General features: G+C 37.5%; 2 long non-coding RNA genes across 2 annotated transcripts in view; one reads left to right on the top strand and one right to left on the bottom strand.

Moving 5' to 3' along the window:
* The window catches only part of TARID (TCF21 antisense RNA inducing promoter demethylation), a 386,755-nt gene that overhangs the window by 115,025 nt on the left and 245,655 nt on the right, over positions 1–26,075 (top strand). The window contains exons 3-4 of the long non-coding RNA NR_109982.1: positions 5,059–5,151; positions 13,722–13,797. This is a non-coding gene — a long non-coding RNA (TCF21 antisense RNA inducing promoter demethylation). The remainder of the gene's footprint in view (positions 1–5,058; positions 5,152–13,721; positions 13,798–26,075) is intronic.
* On the bottom strand, positions 1,786–25,048 carry LOC124901402 (uncharacterized). The gene is made up of 3 exons (XR_007059772.1): positions 24,937–25,048; positions 15,594–15,672; positions 1,786–2,978 (listed from the first exon to the last, which is right to left on the bottom strand). It is a non-coding gene; the product is annotated as an uncharacterized LOC124901402 (long non-coding RNA).

Raw genomic sequence — 26,075 nt, 5'->3', positions numbered from 1 at the left:
CTTGCTCTATCTATGCCTTATGAATATATGGCTAAAAGAAACCAATTGACTTTTTCATTCTGTCTAGCAGTCTCCTTAGCCAAATCCATCAGTTCCTGAGGCACATTTTCTATTTTCTGTTACTGCAGGCAACAGTTTATCTAAATTTTCCCACTACAGAACAAGAATCCCCTTTCCTCCAGCTTCTAGTAACATTTTTCTCAATTACCTTTAAGCTCTCACGGAGTATTTTCGAGGGCCATTAGACTTCTGACAGTAGTCTCCTTAATCCTTCCAGCTTTTTCTGAGCACCCAAGCTGAATGTTCAGCACTCAGTCTCAAAGTCAGTGCACATTTTTTGGGTTTTATTGTTGTTATTTTTGTTTTCAACAGTAACCCACTTCTAGGTAACTAATTCTGTTTTGATTACTATTGCTGTGTAACAAATTACTCTGAAACTTAGCAACTTAATCTTTGGTTTGCTCATAATTTTATGGGCTAGGAATTTGGAAAGAGCTTGGAGGGGCGATTCTTGCTTGAAATCTCTTCTGCAGTTGCAGGCAGATATCAGCTGGAGATACAGTAGTTTGGGGATGCAGTAGTTCAGTTGGGGATACAGTAGCTCAGTTAGGCTTGATGTACAAGATGCCTCCCTCATATTACTGGGAATTGATGTTGGCTCTTCAATAGGAGCTCACCTGCACTTTTACTGAATGCCTACACATGGCCTTTCCAGCCTGGTGGTTGCAGGATAGTTGGACTTATTTCATGGTGCTTGGCTTCTTCTAGAGAGTGTTCCAAGAGGACCAGACTGAAGCTGTATGACTGTTTCTGACTTAGCGTTGGAAACCCCATCACTTACGCTATACTCTATTGGCTAAAGCAATCATAAGTTTTTCTGGGTTCAAGGGGATAGGACATAGATCCCACCTTTTGATATGAGTGTCAAGAAATTTTTGACCCATACGTTACATTACCACACTAGGGTAAGCATATCAACAAATGGCCTTGATAATCTGTTTGTTCACTAATTTGAGAGTAGAGCAAACTACTCACTTGAACAACATCCTTCAGGCCATGTTGATTAAGTTATTCCTGCAGCTGGTCCAAATGTGGTATCTCTAGCAGTCCATCTTTTTTCTTTAACCACAGGACTGCTGAAAAAGCTGGCTGTAAAATATTAGACTCAGCATGTTGGCAAAAGAAAACAGGGCCCTCAACAAGGCATATCTAGTGACAAAAACAATTTTCAGAACTTTATCTTTCAATTTAGACATCTAGTTTACCCAATCTTCTCTCTTAGCTTATTAAATAACTGCAAGGGGCACACCTAGACTCTGCCAGTTTTTTTCTTTTCTTTCTTTCTTTTTTTTTTTTAAATACAGTTATGGTGGGGTTTCAGGCAGCTCCTGCAGGATAATGTCTTGGCTTGGCTAGTAAGTAACAGTTCTGTATGTGTTTTACAAAGATGAACAGCTAAATCAAAAGAATGCAGATGTAGGTTTTCCTTGTTGGGAAAATGACTGGAGTCTACTGTAAACAGGCATCCATGTAGCATATCAAAACTGTCATTACATCCAGAGGTGACACCTGAGAAGCTCACAGGGGAACTAGTGGCTTTCAACTTGAATGGGAAAAGCATTTGGAATCTTGGACCCACTTGACAGTGCTTTCTCATTATGGAGGTTGGCATCCCTGTTGCCTAGATTGGCATAGCAGCTTCACATACAAGGAAAGAATTGAAGAACAGCCAAAGTATTAAATTATTAAGTTAATGTAATATCAGATAGGTAATCAAAGTGCTAAGAATTATTTCACTTAAGACAAAGATAAAAAGAATCAGAATTCCCTCATTATTAATCCTCTCATGCTCTGTCTTTATCCAGGATGGTCTTGTCCTTTCTTGGTGGTCTAGTGACCTCTCTCTCCTCCACCCACTGGCTCTCCTCTCAAACATGTCCATTGCAATACTGGATCTTTAATTTTCCCCCAGATCGTTAAACTTTCTATAGAGTGCTCCTTTTGCCTTCTCAGCTTACCCAAAACATGAATTTGCTCTGATGGCACTCCCTTCCTCAAACCCAGCTGGAGGGAATGCTGTCCATTCTGCCTCTCCCCAAGTCCTGGGGTTAGAAGATTAAACCAGCTTTCTCCTAGCTTTCTTACTTGACCACTCTGTGATATTGGCACAAATCTTTAATTCCTCCTTCTGAAAACTCTCTGCTCTCTTGACTCCCAATATGTTATTCTCTATGGTTATAACCTTTCTTCATAGACTTTCTGTATTGGTTCCTTCCCTTTGCCCTGCCCTCTCAGGATTGGTATTCTCTTGGTGTTTTCTCTGTCTAGAATCATGTCCACAATCTCCAACTTTCTCCAAATCCTCATCCTCTGCTTCCCCAATATATTTATTCTTTTTCTGTAGTTCTTCTTTTAGTTAATGGTGTATTCATCTGGTTTACCACCAAACTGAAAACCTCAGGGTCAACTCTTATCCCAAGGTGTAGTCAGTGACCACATATGGTAGATGCTGCCTCTAAATTATTTCTCAACTCAATCTCTATTATTCAGTAACTGTCATTGTCTTAGTTCAGACATCATCTTCTCTAATCTGATCTTGGGAATCTCTTACTTGATTTCACTCCCTTTGGGCTGTTGCCCTACAAACCCATTCTCCATAGTGATCTTTCCGTTACACAACTGGAATCATGTTATTTTCTTTTCATCAAAGTCCCTTGTGGTTCTTTGTTTTCTGCAGGATTAAATTCATTAAACCAGCTCAGCTTTCCAGTTTCATGTCCTGCTTGTTCTTCCTAGCTTTATGGGGCAGCTTTCTACTTCTTTAAAACAGCATGTAATATGCTCTTTCATGTACAGACTGGATACACTCAGTATCTGGAATGTTTTCCTTCCTTGTTCTTTCTTCCTTTGAAAACCAACCCTTTTCAAGACATGGCTCAAATATTATGTCTGTGGTTGAGTTTCTTCTATTATAGCACCTAAGAAAGAAAATGGAATACACAATATTTACTGAGAGTTAGGTATTTTGCCAAGTGCTTAAAAGTTGTAATTTCATTTAATTTTCATAACAGCTCATGCAGTAATTATTTTTACCCTATTTTATAGATGAAGAAACTGGGCTTTAGAGAGGAGGGATAGCTTCTTGAGAATGTCCATTTACTGAGGGCAAGGATTGTGTCTGTTTAGCTCTATGCCCCCTCAGCACCTAATTCACTGGCTAGCAATAGTAAGCATTCAATAAATATTTATTGAAGGAAGACGAATGAAAGTCTATTCCATTAAAGCAGGAGCTACAAAGAGGTAAAAATCTGTAACAGAAATTCTCAAAATAGTGGGGGTTATTGTAACATGGGATAGAAAATTGGAGTAGAGTCAAAGGAGAGAAAATGGAGAAAATGTTTTTTTCAAAAAGGAAATGTAATACTTGATTGAACTCAAGACAGTAACATTTTGATGTCGATATTCATAGGAATACATGGACATAAAGATTAGGAAAGGGTTCCTCTCCTCATATAATATTTGTGGATTGTGCTAAATCGATAAATCTCAGAGATAATAATGTACCAAATGAAAAGTAGGTAAAATGAATACAATAGGTCACCCAACAATTTATATTTTCTAAGTTGACATCATTTCCCAGTGTGCTAAAAAAATCATATGATTTTGGTGTTTGCCTCTTCAGTCAATCTTACTACATTATGAATATTTCACAGTTCAGCTAAATTTCTAGAAGTTAAAAACTTAGAAGTAATTTCAAAGCTCTTTAAGGCTTTTATGTTTTTAAAATATGTATTAATGTTTACTTAACTAATATTTGAGATCTATATAATTTTTGCCTTGCATTAAATTATAATGTTAAAAAGTTTAGGTGGACCAACATTTAAAAAATTAAAATATGAAAGTATTAAAATGCAAGTGAGTATTTTTAAAAAAGAAATGCAAAATAAACATGAAACTTGAAGGCAACAGGTGATATTTGCCATGGAGGACAAATTTTATGTATTTTTTAATAAGGTACCTCTAAAATAGACCAAGAACTCCTGGAATTTTAGTGGGGGGTTTTGATAATGTTCTAGAAGCCTAAACACCTAGTTGTAAAGTGAACAAAGTGAGGCAAGAAGGTAAGTGGGATTAATTAAGGGTCATACATACAGTAAGATCAGAGCCAGTGACCATCACCCAACACATTTCTAAGTCTTTGATTTCTTTTTATTTTCACAGTTATTATAAACTAAAATGACTGCTTTATTATCAATGGAGGAACAAAGCAATCTGGTTGATGACATCAGTGCATTGGCAGCTTCTGTGGTTTGTTAAGGAAGGGGGGATTCACTTAGGTTGTCTTTCTGTCGCCTTCCCTGGGATGGGCCCCATGAGGATGAACACTGCAGAGTTAGAGGCATAAAATGTGATAAATACCTTGAAAATATGGTTTGAGCCTCTAACTTGAGGAGTTACAAGAAACATAACTTAGAAAGAGGCAATTAGGAAGGATGTGCTTATCTTAGGTTTTCCCAGATTAAATATAACCTTGCATTTTAGTATAAAACTGCCAGAGCTAGTAATACTTTGGTTTATTTTAGGGGGGAAGGGAGGGCGGATATTCAGACAAGTCAATTAAAAAAGAAATTCTTGCTTAAGAATTATCTTTATGGCTCACAACTGTAAACTGTTCTATATTCTCTATTTATTAAATAAAAATTATTATTCATGGACTCTTCACTCCTTTTCATGCTCTAGTCTTAAGTTTTACTCAGAAGTGTAGAAGGATCTGCTTTTACTCAGAAGGGTTTTGAAGACTTCCAGAACCAGGGTCCTTGCGTTTCTCCCACTAGTACTTATCCGAAGCTGAGGGATCCGCTTGGGGCTTTCTGAGAGCAAGCCCTTTGATTGTCCTGCTTTTGGCCAGCTGCCAGCTTTGCTGCGTGATGATTAAGTGTGCTTTTACCCAAAAAAGTTCAGAAAAGCTTTAATTATTCTTGAAAAACAGAAAGTGTTATCAGACTTTGTACACAATTGGAAGCCAGATAATGACCAGCTTTTCTTACCTCTAGACAGATGCTGCTACAAAGAGACCAATCAACAACTGCTCAGCAGAGATACAGATCTGAAGCACAGAAGTGCAATAGACCTTCCTGATGCCTTCGCCAGGTACCTCTGCATTCCTCTATCTCATGTCATTTCCTGCCCACTCCTCTGGCCTTTCCAAATACCCAAGTATTTATTGGAATTTTTATTATGCCACATGCACAGCCTTATATTTTATATATGGAGGGTAGGTAGCTATAGTTCATTTGGCCTTGCCTGCCACTTTATTCAAACCAGTACAAGGATTCTGAAAAACATCACGAAAGATTATCACAGTGAAAGAATGAAATAAGGTTTAGGTGCAAAGTAGAGGGAAGGGGAAAAGAGCCTATTTACATTTAGGAGATGATAAAAGTAAGTTCTTGCATTTTTTGAAGTATGTAATACATATTATTTTATGGAATAAATTGTAATTTAATAAGTAATTGTAATTTAAATATGGGACATCTTGTTATAAACAGTACAATAGATAACAACTTATTGTACTGCTTTTAGGTATTTTCTTATGGTAGGGAACTAAAAATCAATGCCTGGTATTTCTCCAATCTGCCAAATAAGATCATTTTCTTTTTTTCTTTTTTTTTTTTTTGAGACAGAGTCTTGCTCTGTCGCCTAGGCTAGAGTGCAGTGGCGCAATCTCGGCTTACTGCAAGCTCCGCCTCCTGGGTTCACTCCATTCTCCTGCCTCAGCCTCCCGAGTATCTGGGACTACAGGCGCCCGCCACCACGCCCGGCTAATTTTTTGTATTTTTAGTGGAGACAGGGTCTCACCATGTTAGCCAGGATGGTCTCGATCTCCTGACCTCGTGATCCGCCCACCTCGGCCTTCCAAAGTGCTGGGATCATTTTCTTACCCCCACCTTGACTCAAGCCTCATGTTCCAGCTTTTTTATTTGTATAACTCTTACCTTCTGGACCCAAGGTGGGAAGAGAACCATCTTCAGCCCTGAATAGACACTCAGTTTTTTGGCTTTCACTAAACTGCACAGTCAGATCCAGGTCGGCAAAACAATTTGGTCTCATTTTGCTTGGAACCTGCTTAGTCAATGCTGATTAAACCTGAATTGCGTGGTTTGGTCACAGAGTTGGTAACTGAACCTCATTTGATTCAGTCACTGTTGTTTACCAAGCTTTCATCCTCCTTCAGTATTGGCCCAGAGTAGGATTCATTCAGTCATGTACTTCCTGGTTTAATATGCACCAGCTGCTAAGGGAGATATAATGAATGAGATGGATGTGGCCCTGCTTTTGGGAACTTAAGGTCTATTTGGGAATACAGATCACTAAGCAGGCAATTACACATCTCTAAGTGCTGGGAAAGAGAAAGAACACTGTGTTATGTAGTCACCAAGGGAGGATGCATAATCCTGCCCTGAACATCAGGGAAGGCTTCCTGGAAAAGATGGCATGTAAATTGAGGTCCACAGGATGAGTTGGAGTTAGCCAAGTGACACTTGGAGAAAAGAGTGCTTCAGATGCAGAAGAAAGTGCTTCGGGGTAAGTAGAAGTCTGAAGAAGAGAGGGCATGGCATATCTGAGGAAAGGAAAGGAATTCCACATTAGTAGATCATGACATGTGTGTGTTTGTTTAGTAGGCGAGGGTGGGACTAGGAGGTGGGGTGGGGAACAGAATAAGTAATGGCTTCACTGGGCTTTGTGAACCACGTGGCTCAGATTGAACTTCACCTTGAGGGTTTTGGGAAGTGCCTGGAAGAGTAATGTGATGGGATTTGTGTGTCTAAAAAGATCACGCTGGCTAAAGGAAGGAGAATGGACTGGTGAGGCACAGTTAGGAAGCTGCTGCATTAGCCCAGCCAAGAGGCCCGTTCTAGTTTGGTAGCATTGAGCCTGCAGTGAAGCCAGTAGACAAGAGACAGGTTTAGGAGGTGGAATTGATAACGCTCAGTGATTGATAAGATTTAGGGAATGAGAGAGTGGAAGGAGGCATGCATGATACCTCTGTTTCTGGTTGAATAACTGGATAAATTATGACTTTTTTCCCCTAGGTGGAAAAGGAAAAGCATTGGTTTTTCCTAGTTTCCTGTGATCAGCCATACTTTCTTAACAATTCTTCCCTTTTTCCCTCTTCTTACACTCACTGGTCTTGCCTTTCCCTCATTTCCCTGTTTTCTCTAAGGTTGTTTAGGCATTCAGTAAATACCTGAACAACTCTAGGGTTGCTCTCTTGACCTGGAAATATGGGAGAGACTGTTCAATCTCTTTAGTTATGTTTACAAAGAGCCATGAGCCTCTGGAGGGAGAGAGAAAGAGGTCAAGAATGAATATTTCCCATTAGTGCCAAGCTTACCTGAAATAGCTCCTGGCTTTGTCCCATTTTAGAGGTGTTTAACTTTTCTCATTTGGAAAACCTTGCTTCATAATGTTCATGCATTTGTACCTACTTTCTTCTCTGTTACAAATGTTTTCTACCACTTATTTTTCAGGCAAAGTTTTGCCAATCTACTTAGACCCAGATCAGCTATGACCTCTTCAGTGAAGCCATTCCCAGCTCCCACAGGGAGAATTTTGTGGCTCCATCCCTATTCTTCTACATCCCTTTGTCCATATCTCAATCACAGGACTTACTACCCATTGTATTGTCTGTCTTCTTCCTCCTCACCTTCCCACCATCCCATCACCTCACACCGGATTATTATCAGCTCCTTGAAGGCAGGGATTCTATCTGTTTTATTCCTGTTTCTGTCATCATAAGGGGTTGGACTTACACATACTAGGTGTCCAAGAAGAGTTTAATGAGAAGCTATGAATGAATTACTCATAGACTTTCTTTACAAATTGGTTTAAATGTCCACCTCCCTCCAAAAAGTTGTTTTAGTTAAGTCTATTCCTTAGCCAATTTACCAATACATATTTGAGTCTTTCTTATAATAATTGTCCTTTTATGGGAATAGTTAAGCCAACCCTGTGACACTCCTGAGTTTGTTATGAAATGCTAAGTTTCCTAAGGACAGACAAACGTTGTTTCTGTACAACGCTGACCACTCCAATTCTGTAATATAACGTACAATGTTTCAAAAATATGGGGTTAGTTGTGACATCTTAGGTAAATTACTTAAACCTTTCTAATAAACCTAAGTTAGATATAAAAGGTAATAATTTCTATCCCATTAATATGCTACAAGAATTAATTGAGAAAAATGCATTCAGAGCATTTAGGACAGTACCTGGAGCACAGTAAAAATGCTCAATAAATGCCATCTTTGCTTAATCTCTGCTTTCTACATATTTAAAATTCATAGATAGTTATGATTTTTTTCAACTTTATCTTAACAGACTGGTGATTGCATGTGTGCATGTGTGTATATTCATGTAACAGATGTTGATAAATCAATTATTTATTAATTTAACTTTATTTTTCATTTTCATATTTTAGATTTAGGGGATGCATGTGTAGGTTTATTACATGGGTAATAAATCACAATATGTGTGATGTTGAAGCTTGGGCTTCTCATTTTTCCATTGCCCAAGTCGTCAACATAGTACCTGATAGGTAGTTTTTCAACCCTTATTTATTTTGATTTATTTTTACCAAAGTGCATACTCGTATTCCATGATTAATTATTAAAGAAAGCAGTGTATATTAAATACGTTACCTTGGTCAGAAGAGCTCTCACGGTTTGCACATTTGCCTTTGGCAACAACTTTGTTAAATCTCATGTTTTGCTGCTAATCTATCATTTAACTTTTGCTTATATAATTCTTCTTGCTCCAGTGGGAACTATGTCTTTTATTTCTTTGGATCCCTATAGTGCTAAGTACTAGGTTTTGTGCTTATTAGGCATTCAGTAAATATCTGAACAACTCTAGCTTTGCTCTCTTGACCTAGAAATATGAGAGAAACTGTTCAAACTCCCTAGTTGTGTCTATAAAGAGCCATGAGCCTCGGGAGGGAGAGGAAAAGAGGTCAAGAATGAATATTTCCCATTAGCACAGAAGACTTTGAGAGCCCTCTCATCTTTTTCTCTGAAGTTGTAGGAAGTTCTGTTTCCTTTTACCAGTGCTTTATGTTGCCGGACCCAAAGTGAATTTTTGAGGAACTAAGGGAGGATGAGAGCTGATCCAAGATTCTGCACTAACCTCCATAGCCACAGTATTCAGAAATCAAGCATCTGGGTTCAGAAATGATGATGTGCTTTAGTGAAGCATGTGGTTAAAGGGCCAGTAAGTCTTCTAATTATGCAATCCCCAGCCTTCTGTGAATACCAAGGATAAAAGAGCAAAGCATGTGCTCTTCCTTCTTCCCTTCCCCCTCCCTCTCTCCCTCTCTCCCTCCCTCCTTCCCTCTCTCCCTGTCTTTCTTTCTCCCTTCCTTCCTTTCTTTTTTATCTTTAGAATTGTTTTTACTGTTTTTGTAAAAATGATGCATGCTTATTACAGAACAATCCAAGCAGTGTAGTCATAGTATATTTAATCTCTTCTAGATTGCCTTCTGGAATTTCATCAGGATCGCCCTTTTAGGGTTAAGATGAGGTCTCATTTTTGTGGTTCCTGCAAACAATGTAAAGTGACAGCACTTCTGACAGGGTGGCCCAGGTTGGCTTCAGAGGCTCCCTCATGCCACAGGCTGGCCTGAGCTGGATCTTCCAAGTGTTCTGCTTAGATTTTGATGGCAAGGTTTTGCTATCTCAAGATCTCTCTTCCTACATTGGAAAAAAATTACCTAAATGTAAGAACATGCAGCTATGACAACTGTTGATACTCTGGGTTGAACTGGCTGTTCTTGTTCTTTCTCTCCCTCCACTCCATGTGTGTCCCCTGAGTCTGTGTACTGGTAAGATCTTCACAGGGAAAGTACAAGTTGACATTCCAGGGTATATGAGTGGATGTGGTTCCCCTGATCAAATTCTTAAGCCGTTTTGGAAAAGTTAGGAAAGCACTAAGAGTTGTGTGCACCTGCATACAATTATTAATTGTAATTACACAAGATACCCATGGGATCCTTACACTTTGGATCTGAAAGTATTATTCAGCTTTTCTTAGTATGGATTATGTCTTACTAAGTGTCCTTGAGTAGACATTCTGGGGAAGCTTTTGAGTTTTTCATTGCTGTAGGTTTATGAATGTGATATCCATCTGGAAGAGGGAGAAATGTACTACATCACTGCACATAGTAGGCAGACAATAGATATTGTTGCTGGACCTCAGAGCCAGGCCAGCACTTGAGCTCTTTAGAAACTGGGTGACTTGGTTAGCCTCCTCCTTTACAGACTTCTTTAGTATCAGAAAATTTAAAGATCAGGAGGTTATTTAAGCTTTTGGTAACCCCTGGTAGTTTACTTTGCAGAGAAGGCACTATGACTGGTACTCTGGAAATGTTTTGGGCTGGCTTATTCTCCAGTGCTGCTCCCTTAGGAAAATTTTCTCCTAACTTGACTTTTCGATTTGAATATTTTCCATATAAACTTTGCCTTCTTTCTGCTCATCTTTTTTTCTTGCCCCACTGTAACATCTGATTGACTGTGATGTCACATTCCCCACCCTCCCACAGCAAGGAGACGATGAGAAATGACTGTTCATTGATTGCTGAGTATGTGGTATACTGCAGTTATGGGTCTTGACATTGAAAATGATCTTGTGAAGAGGGTGTAGGAGGAGTGGATCAAATGGGATAATGTGTTGAGAAAGCTTTGTCAAAGTTCATTCACCATTTTTGCACACTTCTTATAGACCAGGTGCCGTGCTAAGCATAAATATATGGGATGAACAAGACAGACTTGATCCCTGCACTCATAGCTCTGACGGTTTAATAGGGGAAGAGAGACCTGTTTTAAAAGGAAGGCTTTGAGCAAGGATAGCTGAGGGACATGACATAGTTTCCGGGGCCTGTGAAAGACTTCTTGGGGTTCTAACTCAAGCAAAAAAGTCTTCTTCAAAACTCAGTTGTCATGCTTTTGTTGTTACTCTTGTTGGAGGACTCAAGATCTATCCCTGACATACATTAACCATCAACCGGGCATGCACATGTCCAGTGTAAGGTACTTGTGTCTTCAGGAGAAGGCCATGCTGCAATAAAAGTGCAAATGTTATTTGAAAGGCAGCAAAGCTCGGTGAATACTAGTATTAATAAAATTATCAGAGGATTAATTTAGGAACATTAAGCTATAAACCCCTGAGTTACATAGTTTATACATTTGCTAGTCCAATCTGATTGTCAGGAAACTGAGGAAATGGAACTCAGGAGAAGTCTGTCACAGAGCTAAACACTTGATGAATGAATAAGTAAATGGTTGAATGGATTGGCACCACTCTACATATACCTTTTAAGATACCTGTCAATTTATTCTAAAGTTTCCTACATAGTTTTCTCAGTGATTCTTTTGGTTTCGGAAGTTAGATTAGAATGTGAGTACTTCTGGAGAAAGTTACACTAACAACTACATTTTATTAATATGATTATTTTTATTATTTCATAACACCTAATGAGCAATGTCATTTAATTCTATGGGAGTGAAAGTGAAGCAAGCATATTTTAAAATCATTAAGTATAAAACAGTAATATTTTAAGACCTTTTTATTTTCTGCCAAAAATGGACATTAAAAGAGGTGTTTTTTGTTTTTTTTTTTAATGATTCACCCATTTCACAGATTTAAAAAATGAAGTTTGGACACTTCTCTAGGTTTCACATGGAAAATCAGTGGCAGATGAAAGAAACTCAGGAATTTATTTTTTCAACTTGTGCTTAACCAATTGGAGACAGGCTGTCTCCAGGCTATATTTTCTTTCTAATAGCTATAAAGTGAATGAACTCAAAGAACAGTCTAATGTCCTGCTGCAATTGATATGAAAAAGGACAGGGGAAGAAAAGATTCCTCATTAATGGATTTATATTCTAGTGATAGGGTTAGGGGGTAGAAAGGTCATTTTGAAAAGAAAAGTGAAATATAGACCATGCAGAAAAATTATCTTGTTATCTGACTCAGAGACATGAGGCTGCATGTTATCCTCTGTTCGTTTATTTTTTCTCCTAGCTTTTCTTTTATTTTTAGATAAATGTGAGTCAGACAGATGAGACAAGAGTAATTTTTAGAAACTCTCTTCTCTTGCAAGCTTTTGGGAGCAGAGTTTTTCTCTTTTTATATGGTCTAATTGGAAGTACCATTTAATTGTAAAGGAAGAAAATTGGGCAGGTAAATTAGTAAGAACAAATAAGATATCTTATTAAAAGTTGAGCTTACCTTCTTATTAAGTATATTAGGTCATAATCAGACAAAATTTAAAGCTTAATTGAAAAACTAAAATTGAAGTTCTCTGCAGGTTTTTTTAAGTGGAAAGACATTATAACCCCGGAAACGACTTTTTAGTTTAGGAAAGAGCATGGGATGCGAAAGTAACTAACTATTTTGGTGGTTTTATGTTTAGTGACAAGTTTCTTACATATGAACAACTTAATTTAATTTTCAACAGTTACTTCACCAGGGATGTCTTATTTATTTATTTTTTTCAAAGTGTAGAAAAGGAACTTTAAGCCTTGAGAGTGTAAATGTATTGGCACAGTATCCTGGGTTCAAATCCAGCTTTGTCTGGCTCTGACCCTCTGCTCCTTTCCCATACAAAATTTCTCCTGAGGTATCTACTAGTTTCTGGTATTGGGGATGTGGTTGAGTGAAGCACACTGTGTCCCACTGACTTCACATCCAGACACACACAAATGGGTGAGATACAGCTTGTGACTTGGGGCATAATGGAGTACGTACCAGGCACTGTTGTGGCACAAAGAGGGGAATGATCAGCTCTGCTTGGACTGAGTGGAGCAGGTCAGCCAAGATTTTATGGAGGAGGAGAAAAAGCCATTTGAGCTGGGTCTTCCTTGTAGAGAAGGCACAGTAGGTCACCTGAGATGGAGGGAAAAGCCTGCCCAGAATGGCTTGAAACAGTGGCATGGAGGATATGATTGCAGTATTGTCAGATAAAGTGCAGGACACACAGTTAAAGTTGAACTTCCCATTAAACAACAAATAATGGCTTAGTATATCCTATGCAATAACTGGAACATGTACGAACCCGTTATTTGTGGGTTATTGGAAATTCAAATTTAACTGAGCATTCTGTGATTTAGTTTGTTAAATCTGGCCATGCTAGGCATTCGGGCTTCATTGGAGTGTAGCGTGTAAGGCTGGGGGCACCAGGAGGGATGCTGAGAGAGTCAGGTTGAGGCTTACACTTGGAGAAACTGGTCTTTGCTATACGTGGTAAATAGGATTAAAAATAGCTTTACTGTACACAATAGATGTCTGTCTATCCTATGGCTTAGTAGGTCATATATGCCACTTATCAGTTAAAAACACAGTTTGAATAAAGCATTGTCTCAAATGAAAAGTACTTTTTTGCTCAAGGAGTCATTTAATAAAATTACTTATAACAAACTTTCAAATTAATTCCTAATGTCTGATTATTCTTTTCTCCATAAGAGAAATGTATGAGAAAGGGAAGAAATGCTTTAGAGGGAGGAGAAAGTTAAATAAAACCAGCAAGAGAAAAAACAGATACATTTATATGGCATATATGTGTTTCCTGTTTAATTTTTAAGTGGAGCAAAAAAGACAGATGAAATTGCATTATCCCTGTGCAAATCCTTTCTAAACTAAAGCAAAGATATTTTACTCTGACTCAGGAGCATGGAATTCTTCCCAGAGTCACAGAAGATGGCACAGCCTGGGGACAATTGGGAATCACCTGGAGGATGGCAGGTAGCACTGTTACATTTACTTAAAAATTTGGCCAGGCATGGTGGTTCACACCTGTAATCCGGCACTTTGGGAGGCCAAGATGGGAGGATAGCTTGAGGTCTGGAGTTTGAGACCAGCCTGGGCAACAAAATGAGACTTCATCTCTAAAAAGATTTAATTTTTTTTAATTTTTAAAATTTGAGGGTCACAGATTGTTTAAAAAGGTATTTTATTTTTGTGTTTTTTCTTAATGATGTCCCAGGTATCTGTAACATTGGCTCATGTAGCATGTCTCCTACATTTGTGGTATTGGTTGAAAGGCGACATCTAAACATTTCGATATAACGTTTAGAAAATAAAATGGCTTGTGAGAGCAGTGACTGCATACCAATTTAGATTTTTCTCTCCCTCCTCATTAAATATGTGACTGCGTCTTTTGTTTACTTTTCTCCTTACTCCAGAAAGGATTTAGGGCAGCTCATAAATATGTGCGAGACCTATCACTCCTACGCATGTGGCCATTCAAGTGTTTTGATGATTGTACATTTTAAAGTTAAATGCAAAGACCTCTTTATATTTAGTGTGTGTTTGCTTCTGAGGAAAGTTACGGTAATCATTACTTTTGTTGTTATTATTTCATTGTATCTAATGAACAATGGTAATAAATCCCATGGGAACCAAACATAGTATAACATATATATTTTGAAAACCGTTAGATATAAAAATTCTAATTGACTTGGAGAAGTTTCATTCATTTCATTTCATTTCATTTTCATTTATTAGGGTATTTCATTGTCCTTTGCTTAAGCCTTTCTTTGCTTTAGTTGAGGTTAAGGAAAGACAAAAATCTAACTGTGGTAAACACAATCTGAATTTCATTATTAACACTTTCATATAAAGACAGATTAATAACCAAAGTAGATGCTGGTCATAATGAATGACTTTTGATTTGTTATGTTTTCCTGAGTTATTTTTACTTTGGTAGGCATGTTATTTCTGCTTAAAAATGAAGTGCTATTAGTAATCAAGGATGTGAGTTCATAACAAGTAAGTTAAATTTTAAACCATGGTTTATTTGAGATTTTGCTTTGTCTGGGAAAGGATTTAAACCTCAGCAAGAACGATTTAGGGGTTAGAAAAACAAATCTTTGATAGGGAGAGTGTAACATGTTGGAATGGGTTGTCTTCTCTTAATGATTTGGCAGGCATCTTGTCAAATGAGCTGGGGTTTTATTGAATCTGATAATGGTAATATTAGGCTCCAAATGAGTTTGACACGGTGCCCAAATGGCTGGATCTCACAGGATAAAGTTTAATAGGAATAAGCAATAAACACATAGCCCATTACCTGGATTCAGAAAAGCAACTGGAAAAATAGTTCACATTGAAAAACAGTGAAAAACAATGGGTTACGGCTTTTAGATAATAGCGAGTTCAACATAAGTCAAGAGAGTGGTGGGCTGCTATAAGTCTAATAGGATTTAGAATCAATTTTAGAGCAAGCTTGCCAGACTAAGAAAGTTATAACCCCAAATCTACATTCCATAGTGGGCAAAACTTTTTTTTAAAAAAATACTGACTTTATATCTAGATACTATACCTTAAAAGCATACTTTTAAAAACAAAAAAATGTACTTGATGAGAAGATATAAAACCATGTCAAAAACAAAAAAAAGAAGGAAAACTACAGGAATAGAAGATGTTTTACCTGGAGAAAAGAAGAGCTTCATTGTTAAAGAGGAAAAGGTTTATTGTCTCTGATGTTGAATTTCTGCAAGGACCAATATATAGAAGTTTCCGTATAAGAATGGACTTACTTGCAATCAATCCTTTGTAGATAGAATGGGCTGCCATTCTGTGGATATGGACATCAGCATTCCTCACCTGTTGGAGAGGCTGGAGAAAGGTGATTTACACATTGCATCTAGATTTAGAACTTTGTGGTCTCTTCCAAATCTGCTATTCTGTGATTCTAAGGATGTTTAGGATAGTTATATATATATTTTGGTGTACATAACTTCTAGACCAATCAATTATTTCAGGAAATTTCATGACATTAGAAAACAAAAAACACCCTCACCAATCTACCCTTTGTTATTACATAGACAAAGCAGCTGGTTGATTGACTGGAATTTTCTATTTTGCTGGGTAGGTATCTGGGAGATGTAGCTTGATTTGTGCTTATTGGGTCACCTTGCCCACATACAGGCCTTTTCAATGTAACACTCCATATAAAAAGGCAAAATGGGTTGCAAAAAATACACAGAAAACCCTGATGAAAGCAGTTCTTAGAATACATTAGCTGTAAAATTTCATTGCAATCAGAATTTTGTGTTCCTTGCACTTATGTATTATTGCCTCTTTCCAGCCTTTTAACATACAATGAAAAACCTCTAGATAACAAATACTTGTCAAGCCCCAGCCAATTGTTCACTTGTTTTGAGGAATATTTGGTACTATAAAATATCCATATGAGAAAATAAGAAAGTCAGTTCCTTGGAGTTTGTTTTAATAAGATTAATACAATCAATGCTATGATTCTTTTTTTCTTCCTATCAACACCCCCTCTATTTCATTTTTGCTAGTCACCAGCTGGCTTTTTTTTTCCCACCACAAAATGACTCTAAACTGCCAGATAATTCTACAAAAAGAAATTTGTTCCAAAAGTTACACGGAGCCAACTATGTCAGCAATGGAAAGAACTAGTACATTTTGTTTTGAAAATAAAAAAATCCTAGATCTGAAAATTTGTCTACTTAACCCCAAAACACTCGACTCCAGAACTCCACATGAAGAAGTTTGCCTTTACTTTGTCATTTATTTCTAAAACTATGAAGGTAAAATTTTGGGGATATCTTTAAATAGCATCCCATGTAAAGTATTGTAAAATGTTCAATTATAGTACAACAGTGTATGTACTAGTTAGCTAAATTAGATGGTTAAATGGTTAGAATGCAATGCATGTACTGAACTTTTTATAGTTAGGAGTCAAAATAATGATATGAGTTTTGATATATTCCTTTGCTGAAACTCTTGGTATTAAATTTCATTAGTATCTTTCTTTCCTTTCTCGATATCTTAATATTATTACACTGTATGTTTAGTCCCAGAATTTAGAAATCAATTACAAAAACCTGAAACAAGACTTGTCCTGGTAGGGTCATCTCAAATTGTCATTCAGGGATTCAGTGTTTAGGTAGAAAAGCAGACAGCATGTTGCCTTGAGTCTTATTTTTTCAATAAATACAAGCCAGTTCAATTCACTGCTTTTCAGGTAAAATACCTAGCAAGAGCTGAATATCTGGAGACATGCTGCACTAACCTTGTTCCTTATAATATAAACTCCCAGGGGAATGGCAAAATGCATGAAGGTTAGACAATCATATTGAAAGAACTTTACATCTTCACCTTTCCAGGAGACTAAAATAGAGGCTGCCCTCTTATCCCATGTTCTAGGAAACTCTTATCATATGTAGGGCCCACTCTAGAGCATTTCAGTGCACCCTATGTTGTCTAATTGAAGAGTAAATCTGTACATTCAAAGCGTGCATTTTTTTGGTCTAAAAAAAAGCACTGCTCAAATATGAGGTCTTGTGGTTGCATATCATTTTAATAGAGCTACACACTATGCACCATAATTTTTAATTCATGAAAGAGCTTAGAGCTTGCATGTGGCAAAGGATTAACTTCTGTCCTAATTACTTTCTCAGAAAAGCTAATGGAAAATTAGATGCACTCCACCAGGCAATAAATATATCACACCAAACAAAATTTAAACTAAAGAACAATCAACCCCTTTTCTTTGTTGTTTCAAAGGAGAAGGAGATTAGACCTTTTTAGAAAAAGATCAAGAGCATTTTATGGGAAATTCCGGAAAAAAAAGCTATTTGGACTGAAATCAAAATGTTATGAATAGTACTTTCTAAGTAATGACACATATCAGCAGTATTTGTAACCATAAGAACAATGTGATAAATTTTAATCACTTGGGACTCCAGCTCTGTGGGAAGTGCTTACTACACAGACATCATTTATAGGTTTCCAGTTATGACCTACGTCTAAAAGACATTTTAATGATAACTGGAGAAAGTAGATAGATTGTCTTCCTAGAGTGTTGAAGTTCCTGCTTGTTGTCATCCTCAGCTCTATTAAAGAGCAGAGGCTTTCAAAGGTACACTTCAGCCTAGCAGTCAGGGTGCGAGACCAAAGGGATGGAACTATCTGAGATAAAATATGCCAGAAACGTACACTCCTCAGGATTTCCTGTGGGAGTCTGCCCAAAATAAAGCAATATTAATAAATATAAACTCTGGAACACAATTATAAACAGAAACAGAGTCTTGAAATGTACCCTTGAAATTCTTCTAGTTTCCTCACGCAGGTCAACTATTACAACGTAACTGTGCAAAATGTTAGACCTCCCTACAGGGACAATTGCTTTAAATTATATTAAGGACTCAAAGACTCTAACATACATGCCAAAGGAAGGAGTTTAATTTGTTGAATGCTCTAAATCTTTGAGTTAACTCAGGGTCCTTTGGCCCCCGACCTTGAAAACATTTCTGGGGAAAAAAATGTAGTTTCAAAGCCTCTGAACATTAAAAAATATGCAATTGGTCAATTTGCTTTTTATCTTTTCCCCTCTCTGTACTGCATTTTTGGAGAGAAAGGAAGCTCAGGTAATGCAGATGGAATACAAAAAAGAAGAAAGAAACAACAAAGGGAGAGAAGACTTGTGTTCCTAAGCCATAAAGAATTGTTATGCTCCTTCAGATTTCATCCCAATAACCTGAAAACCCACCCTTTGAATGTAGCTCAAAGTCAAAGAAAATTTCCTGACCCTAAGTTTCTTATGAGGCAAAGGTTTTGCGAGATTTGAGTGTTAGGTCTCTTGTGGCTTCCATACCATCCCAAGCAAGCGAATCATTTCTCACAGCTAGGAAGATCCTTGCTTATAACTACTATTTTTCCTTTCCATCATCATTTCCTTTCCAACATTTCCTTTCTGATGTGGGGGAATGAAACATCTTCTGCCTCTTTCTTTCTCGCATTCTGGTTTCAAAGTATTTCTTACTCCACAGAATGTAATATTCCTTAGTACAATTAAGGGAGTCATGATGTATAATACTCCACTGAAATCTAGCCATTTTACAATCAATTTGGAGTAAAATCTAATTTTTATAAGTTTATTTTTCCAATAGGACTAATTATGAAAGTGCTTGATTTTTCCAGCTTTGCCTAGAAGGGTGCCGGGTTGACCTAGTAGCGTAAGAACATCAGAAAGAACTAAGGATAGGAGACAGGACAGTAATCACCACTTTTCCCTTAAAGAGTCAATAAATGCACATAAGTTTAAAGAACCTTTTGTTTTCTGGTTGATAATTCTAAAGTGTGTTTTTTTGATAAGTTATTTAAAGGTAAGAATGATCAGAGTGGTAGCATATCAAAAATAATGGAATCATCAAACTTGTCACTAGATCCATATTTTAAACCTCCAAGATTTCTCAGTATTACTGTCCTTTTTACTGCTTCTATATTAAAATGTAAGACTTGGTGTTAAACCAACAAAATAAAGAACTCAGAATCAAGGTTTGTTATTGGACACACAGAAAGCACAAGGATTCATGATATTTGTTATTTCTAAAGATGAGGCTCAAGTCCAGCTGTTTTGACTATCCAGTGCCTGGCCCTGGCTCCGCTCACTAGACAACTGCTCTCCAGAAAACATGGCCCTTCTTCAACCAGGCTCAGCCCCAAGCACCATCAGTAACTTGGCCCAAGATGAAGGGGCTCAAGTCAATGTGAAATGTTTAAGTCATAGAATTTTCTAGTTTTAAATGGCCTTAACAACCTAGACCCTTTTCTATTCCTCCCATTCCACCAAGGAATGGTTCAATGTCCTGCCTAGTCTTCCAACCCAGATCTCCAAATCAATGGCTTACTTGTTTTCTTTTGCTGCTGGAAGCACAACCATGATAGGATTTTGTCATTGTTATTGTTTCTTTCTTTTTCTGTTCTTTTTCTTTGCTTTTAATTTTTTAATAAAGAACTCTTTAACATAATAGAAAGTCATGTCAGTGGATATGTTTTTCCAAATGCTTTTTATTTTCTCCCAAGCTACTCTTTCAAGAATGCTTATCTTATGAGAAAGGACCCTATCATGAACTGAGTGTGTGTAGAGCTGTTGAAAATACTGAATGATTGCAATACAGCAGAAGAATGATACCCAACATCAACTTCCTGGTTAGGTTAACTGATTACACTTTCTGTGATTAATAAGCAACCCTGCAGATTAGCAGTGAGAACTAGTTATTTAACCATAGCTGCAGCCCAGCATAGATGTGATAGGCTATCTACCCAAGAAGTCTTTTGAACTATAGAATACTTTTCATTTTTTTGCTTTCAACTAAAACATGGTTCTAGCCCTTTCTCCATTTCCTGTTTTATGGCCATGGATAAAGTTTAGACAAAGGAGCACCTCAGTTATGTGTTAATTCAAAGTCTCTCTGAAAGAGGAAAATTCTAGTGCATAACAAATTGTGTTGCTATTTCAGTTCATAAGACTTTTATTGCAGATTCTGGGGTTCCAGCTAATAAAGATGTAATGATAATTGTCTATCAAACAGAATAAGAAGAAATGAGTAGAAGGAAGAAGGTACATTATAGTTGATGGATAAATGATATCTCATAAGTGACAGAGGTTTGTATCTAATGCTTAGGACTAGCATATTTATCAATTGCTTTTGACTTTTTCATTCACAAGGGATGTTTATTATTGAATAGTGAATCCAAACCGCATTGGACTTTTGAACTTCCCATTCTAATGGGAAGGCCTTGTCAGAGAGAAATCTGAATTTGCACAGATTTGAGAAGTGATGTAAGATAACACATACTGTGTTTTACAGCTTTTGAAGCTCAGATCCTCCCTGCATATAACACACACAGCATTCCAACACTCACAAAGCTTAGCTGTGATGAACAACTCCACTGAGACTGAAATTATTCAACTGATGTCCCATCCCCTTCCTCACCAAAAACCTCCTCCATGAACAGGCCCCTTTGAAGGCCTCTGTGCTCAGGAGAGAGATGTGGCCACATCAAGGGTCAGGAGTCAATCTAACTCTAATTATCCACATTATTATTGCCTGGGAACCGGATCTACAAGCCTCTCTAACCCAGGCAGGGCAAGTAATCAGGTTTCACAACACTCATCCTTAATTGAGGAGCATCTTTGCTTCAGTTTTCTTCATATTGCATCCATGTTAAAACACCATCTGACTTGGTTAGGGTTTTTTTTTTAATAAATCATAAATTCCCAGGTGAAATGAAATTTTAATTATTAGAAAATAGAATTCCTAAAATTTCTATCCCCAAGTTCTTCTTTCAATTTGTTTAGTCTGTCGAAAACAAAGCATGGCTTAACCTAGGGTCAACAAGATTTTGCTTTGGAAATAACATTTTTGCTTCTTTAACATAAGGATATCTTACACTTTTGGTTACTATCCTCAAATTGCAAGAACTCACTAACTGATGCACAATCAGTTTTAAAAGAATATAATAGAATGTGAAAGACCTTTCAGAGTGAAAAGATTGCTATATTCAAAGCACACAATTTCATTTTCAAGTGAGTTTCAGCCGTCTGCTATGAATGACTGGAATTTTAAAAACAACAAGACCACTCAGATATTTTTCCAAGACTCACAATCTGGAGCCTCCCCATTTTGCCAAACCTCCCACTAGACAAGCAGGAAAGGTAAACAAAGCAACAGACCCCTGGGTTGTACACATTGACAAGACCGCAGGCCCTAGGATTAGAATGTTTCATCCCCATATCCAATGTCTCCCAGAAGGACATCGAGTAGGAGGAAGAAGGAAGCATGAGGTTAGAAACTTACAAAGATTGGGCAGATAGTCAAAGCACTGGATAGATGAGGCAGCCTGTAACTCATTATTAGCAGAACATCTCCAGGGAGCCCCTGCAAACATCCTACAGCCAGCAAAAAACAGAAGTCTTGTGACAGTTGAGGCTTTGCGTTATGCCTGTACCCACTGCAGGCCAGGGTATTGCCCACAGGTGTTGGGGAGAGTCCAGGACATGCTGAAAGTGTAAAGCCTTAAATCAATGTTTGTTGAACTGAAGACTTGGTGAAAAATGTCATTGCCAGGACTGCTGTCATGCAAGAAGCAGAGTGGGAATGGGAAGGGAAGAAAATATGTATTGTGACATTTCAAATATCATTTTAAAATGATCAGATGAGTAAGTGACTGTGTAGGAGGCACGGGGTACCAGAGGCATACTTCGGAAAAGTAAAGGAAACAGTCTTTTATTTTGGGTGAGGAATTTACTAAAAAATCCTCAAGGATTTCATGTTTACATTTATCCCAATGGTAAATATCCTAAGGATAAATATAATTCTGTTAGTGAAAGATAGACTTTTTTTGGCATTGCTCTTTCAGTTCATCAAGGAATCATTTACTAATCTATGGCTGTATTTGTTTAAAAATGTAGTACACAAAGCATCTGACAGTGCACTGGACTCTCTCACATGAGCAGGACAGGATCTAGAAGACCACAGAGATCACTCACCCTTTAATTCTCAATCACAGCAAACGTCGTGCCTCTTTTAATTACATATATTTTGTACTGCCCTCTTTAAAATCTGAAATAAAACTCATAGTTTTTCCATGTACACAGATCATTTAAAAAACTTTAATAAATTTCCCAACTATAATAATAAGAAGAAATAAAAGAAAAGTAATTTAAAATAAAGCAACATTCTTGTTTTTTTAAATTTTACTTTGAGTTCTGGGATACACGTGCAGAACGTGCAGGTTTGTTACATAGGTATACATGCACCATGGTGGTTTGCTGCACCTATCAACCCGTCATCTAGGTTTTAAGCCTCGTATGCATTTGGTATTTGTCCTAATGTTCTCCCTCCCCTTGTCCCCCACCCCCGCAACAGGCTGTGGTGCGTGATGTTCCCTTCCATGTGTTCTCATTGTTCAATTCCCACTTATGAGTTTGTTTTGTGTTTTGTTTTGTTTTGTGTTCTGTTCAAACTAACACAGTTTGCTGAGAATTATGTTTTCTGTTCCTGTGTTAGTTTGCTGAGAATGATGGCTTCCAGCTTCATCCATGTCCCTGCAAAGGGCACGAACTCATTCTTTTTTATGGCTTCATAGGATTCCATGATGTATATGTGCCACATTTTCTTTATCCAGTATATCACTGATAGGCATTTGGGTTGGTTCCAAGTCTTTGCTATCGTAAATAGTGCTGCAATAAACATACATGTGCATGTGTCTTCATAGTAGAATGATTTATACTTCTTTGGGTATATACCCAGTAATGAGATTGCTGAGTCAAATGGTATTTCTGGTTATAGATCAGCAACATGCTTTTCAAAATGTGACAACATAGGTGCAACTACACTAGAAGAAACTATGAAGTAGTCTGAGGCTTGCACCTACTTGCAGTGCATAGGTTTGTATTTAAATGAAGACAATATTCAAATTCATGCTGTAAATACCTTCTTCTATATTGGCATTTTGGAATATGGTCTAAATAATTATATTCTTATATATCACCATGAATATGATAATGTAAAATGCAGAGATATGGGTGTATTTCATTAGCAACTCAAACACAAGAAGAAGCTTCATATTTCTAGGAAAAGTTTTGTATTAACATTTGATTAAATACTTTATATTTTAATGCAAAGCAGAATTGGCTTCTAGGCTCAGATAATAATAAATAGTTTTTTTCCCATGCACGAGGGGAACATTTGAAAGCTGTGTGTACATTTCAGGTTGGGACTGCTCTGTACATAACAAGACATCAACCATCCCTGGCCAGGTCCATCAGATGCCAGCATCACTTTTCTGTCTCAAATTTTTGTGGGAGCCATAGTTGTTCCTTCATAATTTTCCAAACACTTCTATACTCAGATGTCTAGAACTGCTTTTCTATTCTTGCCTTCTTAATCTACAGATGTAAGTCGAGTCCTTGAGAGGTTAAATCCTTTCTTCAATATCACAGTTGTTGATATTGAACACAGTAGCCAGAATTAGGATTAGGTACATGGATTTATTGGTCCTTTATTTAATTAGTTTTAAAGCCTTTATAAAATCTCTATAATGGCTTAAACCCTTCTATCCAGGCTTCATCCACTTTGTTTTCTTATATCCTGTAGTTTTTCTTTAAGGTCAAACCTGCATACTCGCCATCCCCAAAACATATCCATTTGCTACTACTTGGTATTGTTTTTCACAGTTTCTATGCTGAAAGTATCCACTTTGATCATCTTTTTTCAAATATACTCTCTTCCATGAAGGATTTCTTTACACCCAAACCTGAAATGATCTCTCCCTCTGGGGCAGGAGTCCCCAATCCTGGGGCTGTCCATGGCCTGTTAGGAACCAGGGGATACAGCAGGAAGTGAGTGGCAGGTAACCCCGAGAAGCTTCATCTGTATTTACAGCCGCTCCCCATCGCTGGCACTACTGCCTGAGCTCCACCTCCTGTCAGATCAGCAGCAGCATTAGATTCCCACAGGAGGACAAACCCTTATTGTGAACTGCGCATGCGTGGGATCTAGGTTGCAAGCTCCTTATGAGAATCTAATATCTGATGATCTGTCACTGTCTCCCATCATCTCCAGATGGGACCATCTAGTTGCAGGAAAACAAGCTCATGGACCTCACTGCTTCTGTTATGGTGAGTTGTATAATTATTTCATTATATACTACAATGTAATAGTAATAGAAATAAAGTGCCCAATAAATGTAATGCACTTGAATCATCCTGAAATCATCCCCCTCCTCAGTCCATGGGAAAATTGTCTTCCATTGAAACTGGTCTCTGGTGCCAAAAAGGTTGGAGACCACTGCTCTAGGTAACTTCCATAGGAGTTCTTGACAAGCAGCTTGCCCTGTCACTCATTGACCTTCACTATTTGGGGAGTGTGTCCACCTTATAAGTACCTCGATGGCAGAAACTAGACCCCATCCTTCGTTGTCTTCTGCTTACCACTAATCACCACTATATAATACATAGTAGGTACTTAGGATTAGTTCTCAGTTTTTACTGTTAGATCTCTGCAGTGCCTACAATCTTCAACAAGAGGGGAACAGATAATTGAAGTTAATTTATCTTACCCATCTCAGACAGAGGCAAAGCACAGCTTCAAGCAACATGGCCATGCTGGGGAACATCTGGGAAAGAACAACAGAGACAACGGTCTGGCTTGCAGCAGTCAGGAAATGAAGTGGTTCATTCCTAGCAACGGACCATTTTGTATTTTGGAGGCAGAGATATAAACAATGACAAGCTCTGTTAAAAGCAGCTGTAGTCACAAATCTCCCAACAAGCTTCATATGTGCAAACTACAGGAAGGACTCCTGGTACCATATTGGGCTTCTCAGTCACACACAGAGAGTGGAGCAATCACTGTCAGTAGTGTCATCTTTGAATACAATGCAGAACAAAGTGTTCATGTTCCACTTGCCATGTGCGTGAAGGTGGAAGAGAAATGGGGTAGGGTCACTGACACCAGTTGGTCATTTTTTTAGGCTGTTTTATTAACTCTCTGCAAAATCTGAACAAAAATTTTATCCTTAAACACAACTTTTTAAATTTTAAGTAGAAAACAGACTTCAAATTAAATCTACACCCATTTTATAGATAATCTCTACCTTTGGGTTTTATTTTTTCTGAGTGTTCACTGATTGGTTGTCAGGTTGTTTTGGTTATCGCCTTCTCATCTGAACATTTTATTGTGAAAGTGCAACATGTGAAATCTAGCATGATGTATTAGACCTATAAGTAATCAGGGAAGAATTTAGTTAAGCTGATGGATTCTTTGGAAATATGCATAAATATTTACAAATTATAGAGTTAAATCCAACTTTTTTTTTGCTAAATGAAATATATCCCTTTTTTTGTAAATGAGAAACATCAAACTCTGGAAGGCAGTAAGAAAGCAAAGAATAGAACACTGGGAAAATTGATTCGTAATCCCAGTTACAAGATAATTGCATGTAATTTTCATAACTCCCTCTAACAGCTTTTTAGATTTACATGTCTAAAATGTGTATGTGTGTGTTTTTTACAGTTGTAAGTAATTTTGGTAGGAATTTTGATGATTAGCTCTGCATCTGGACAAGGAGATTTAAAGTCAATTCTTTCTTAAATGTTAAAGACACTATTCATCGTATTTCTGGCTTTTTGCATTTGCAATTCACGGCTCATAATACAAAATTTTCAAGCAGTTGAATTCATAACCTATTTTCTTTCT

Source organism: Homo sapiens, chromosome 6, assembly GCF_000001405.40.
Source record: "Homo sapiens chromosome 6, GRCh38.p14 Primary Assembly".
Lineage (NCBI taxonomy): Eukaryota > Metazoa > Chordata > Mammalia > Primates > Hominidae > Homo > Homo sapiens.
This window is presented reverse-complemented; position numbering and strand designations above follow the sequence as displayed.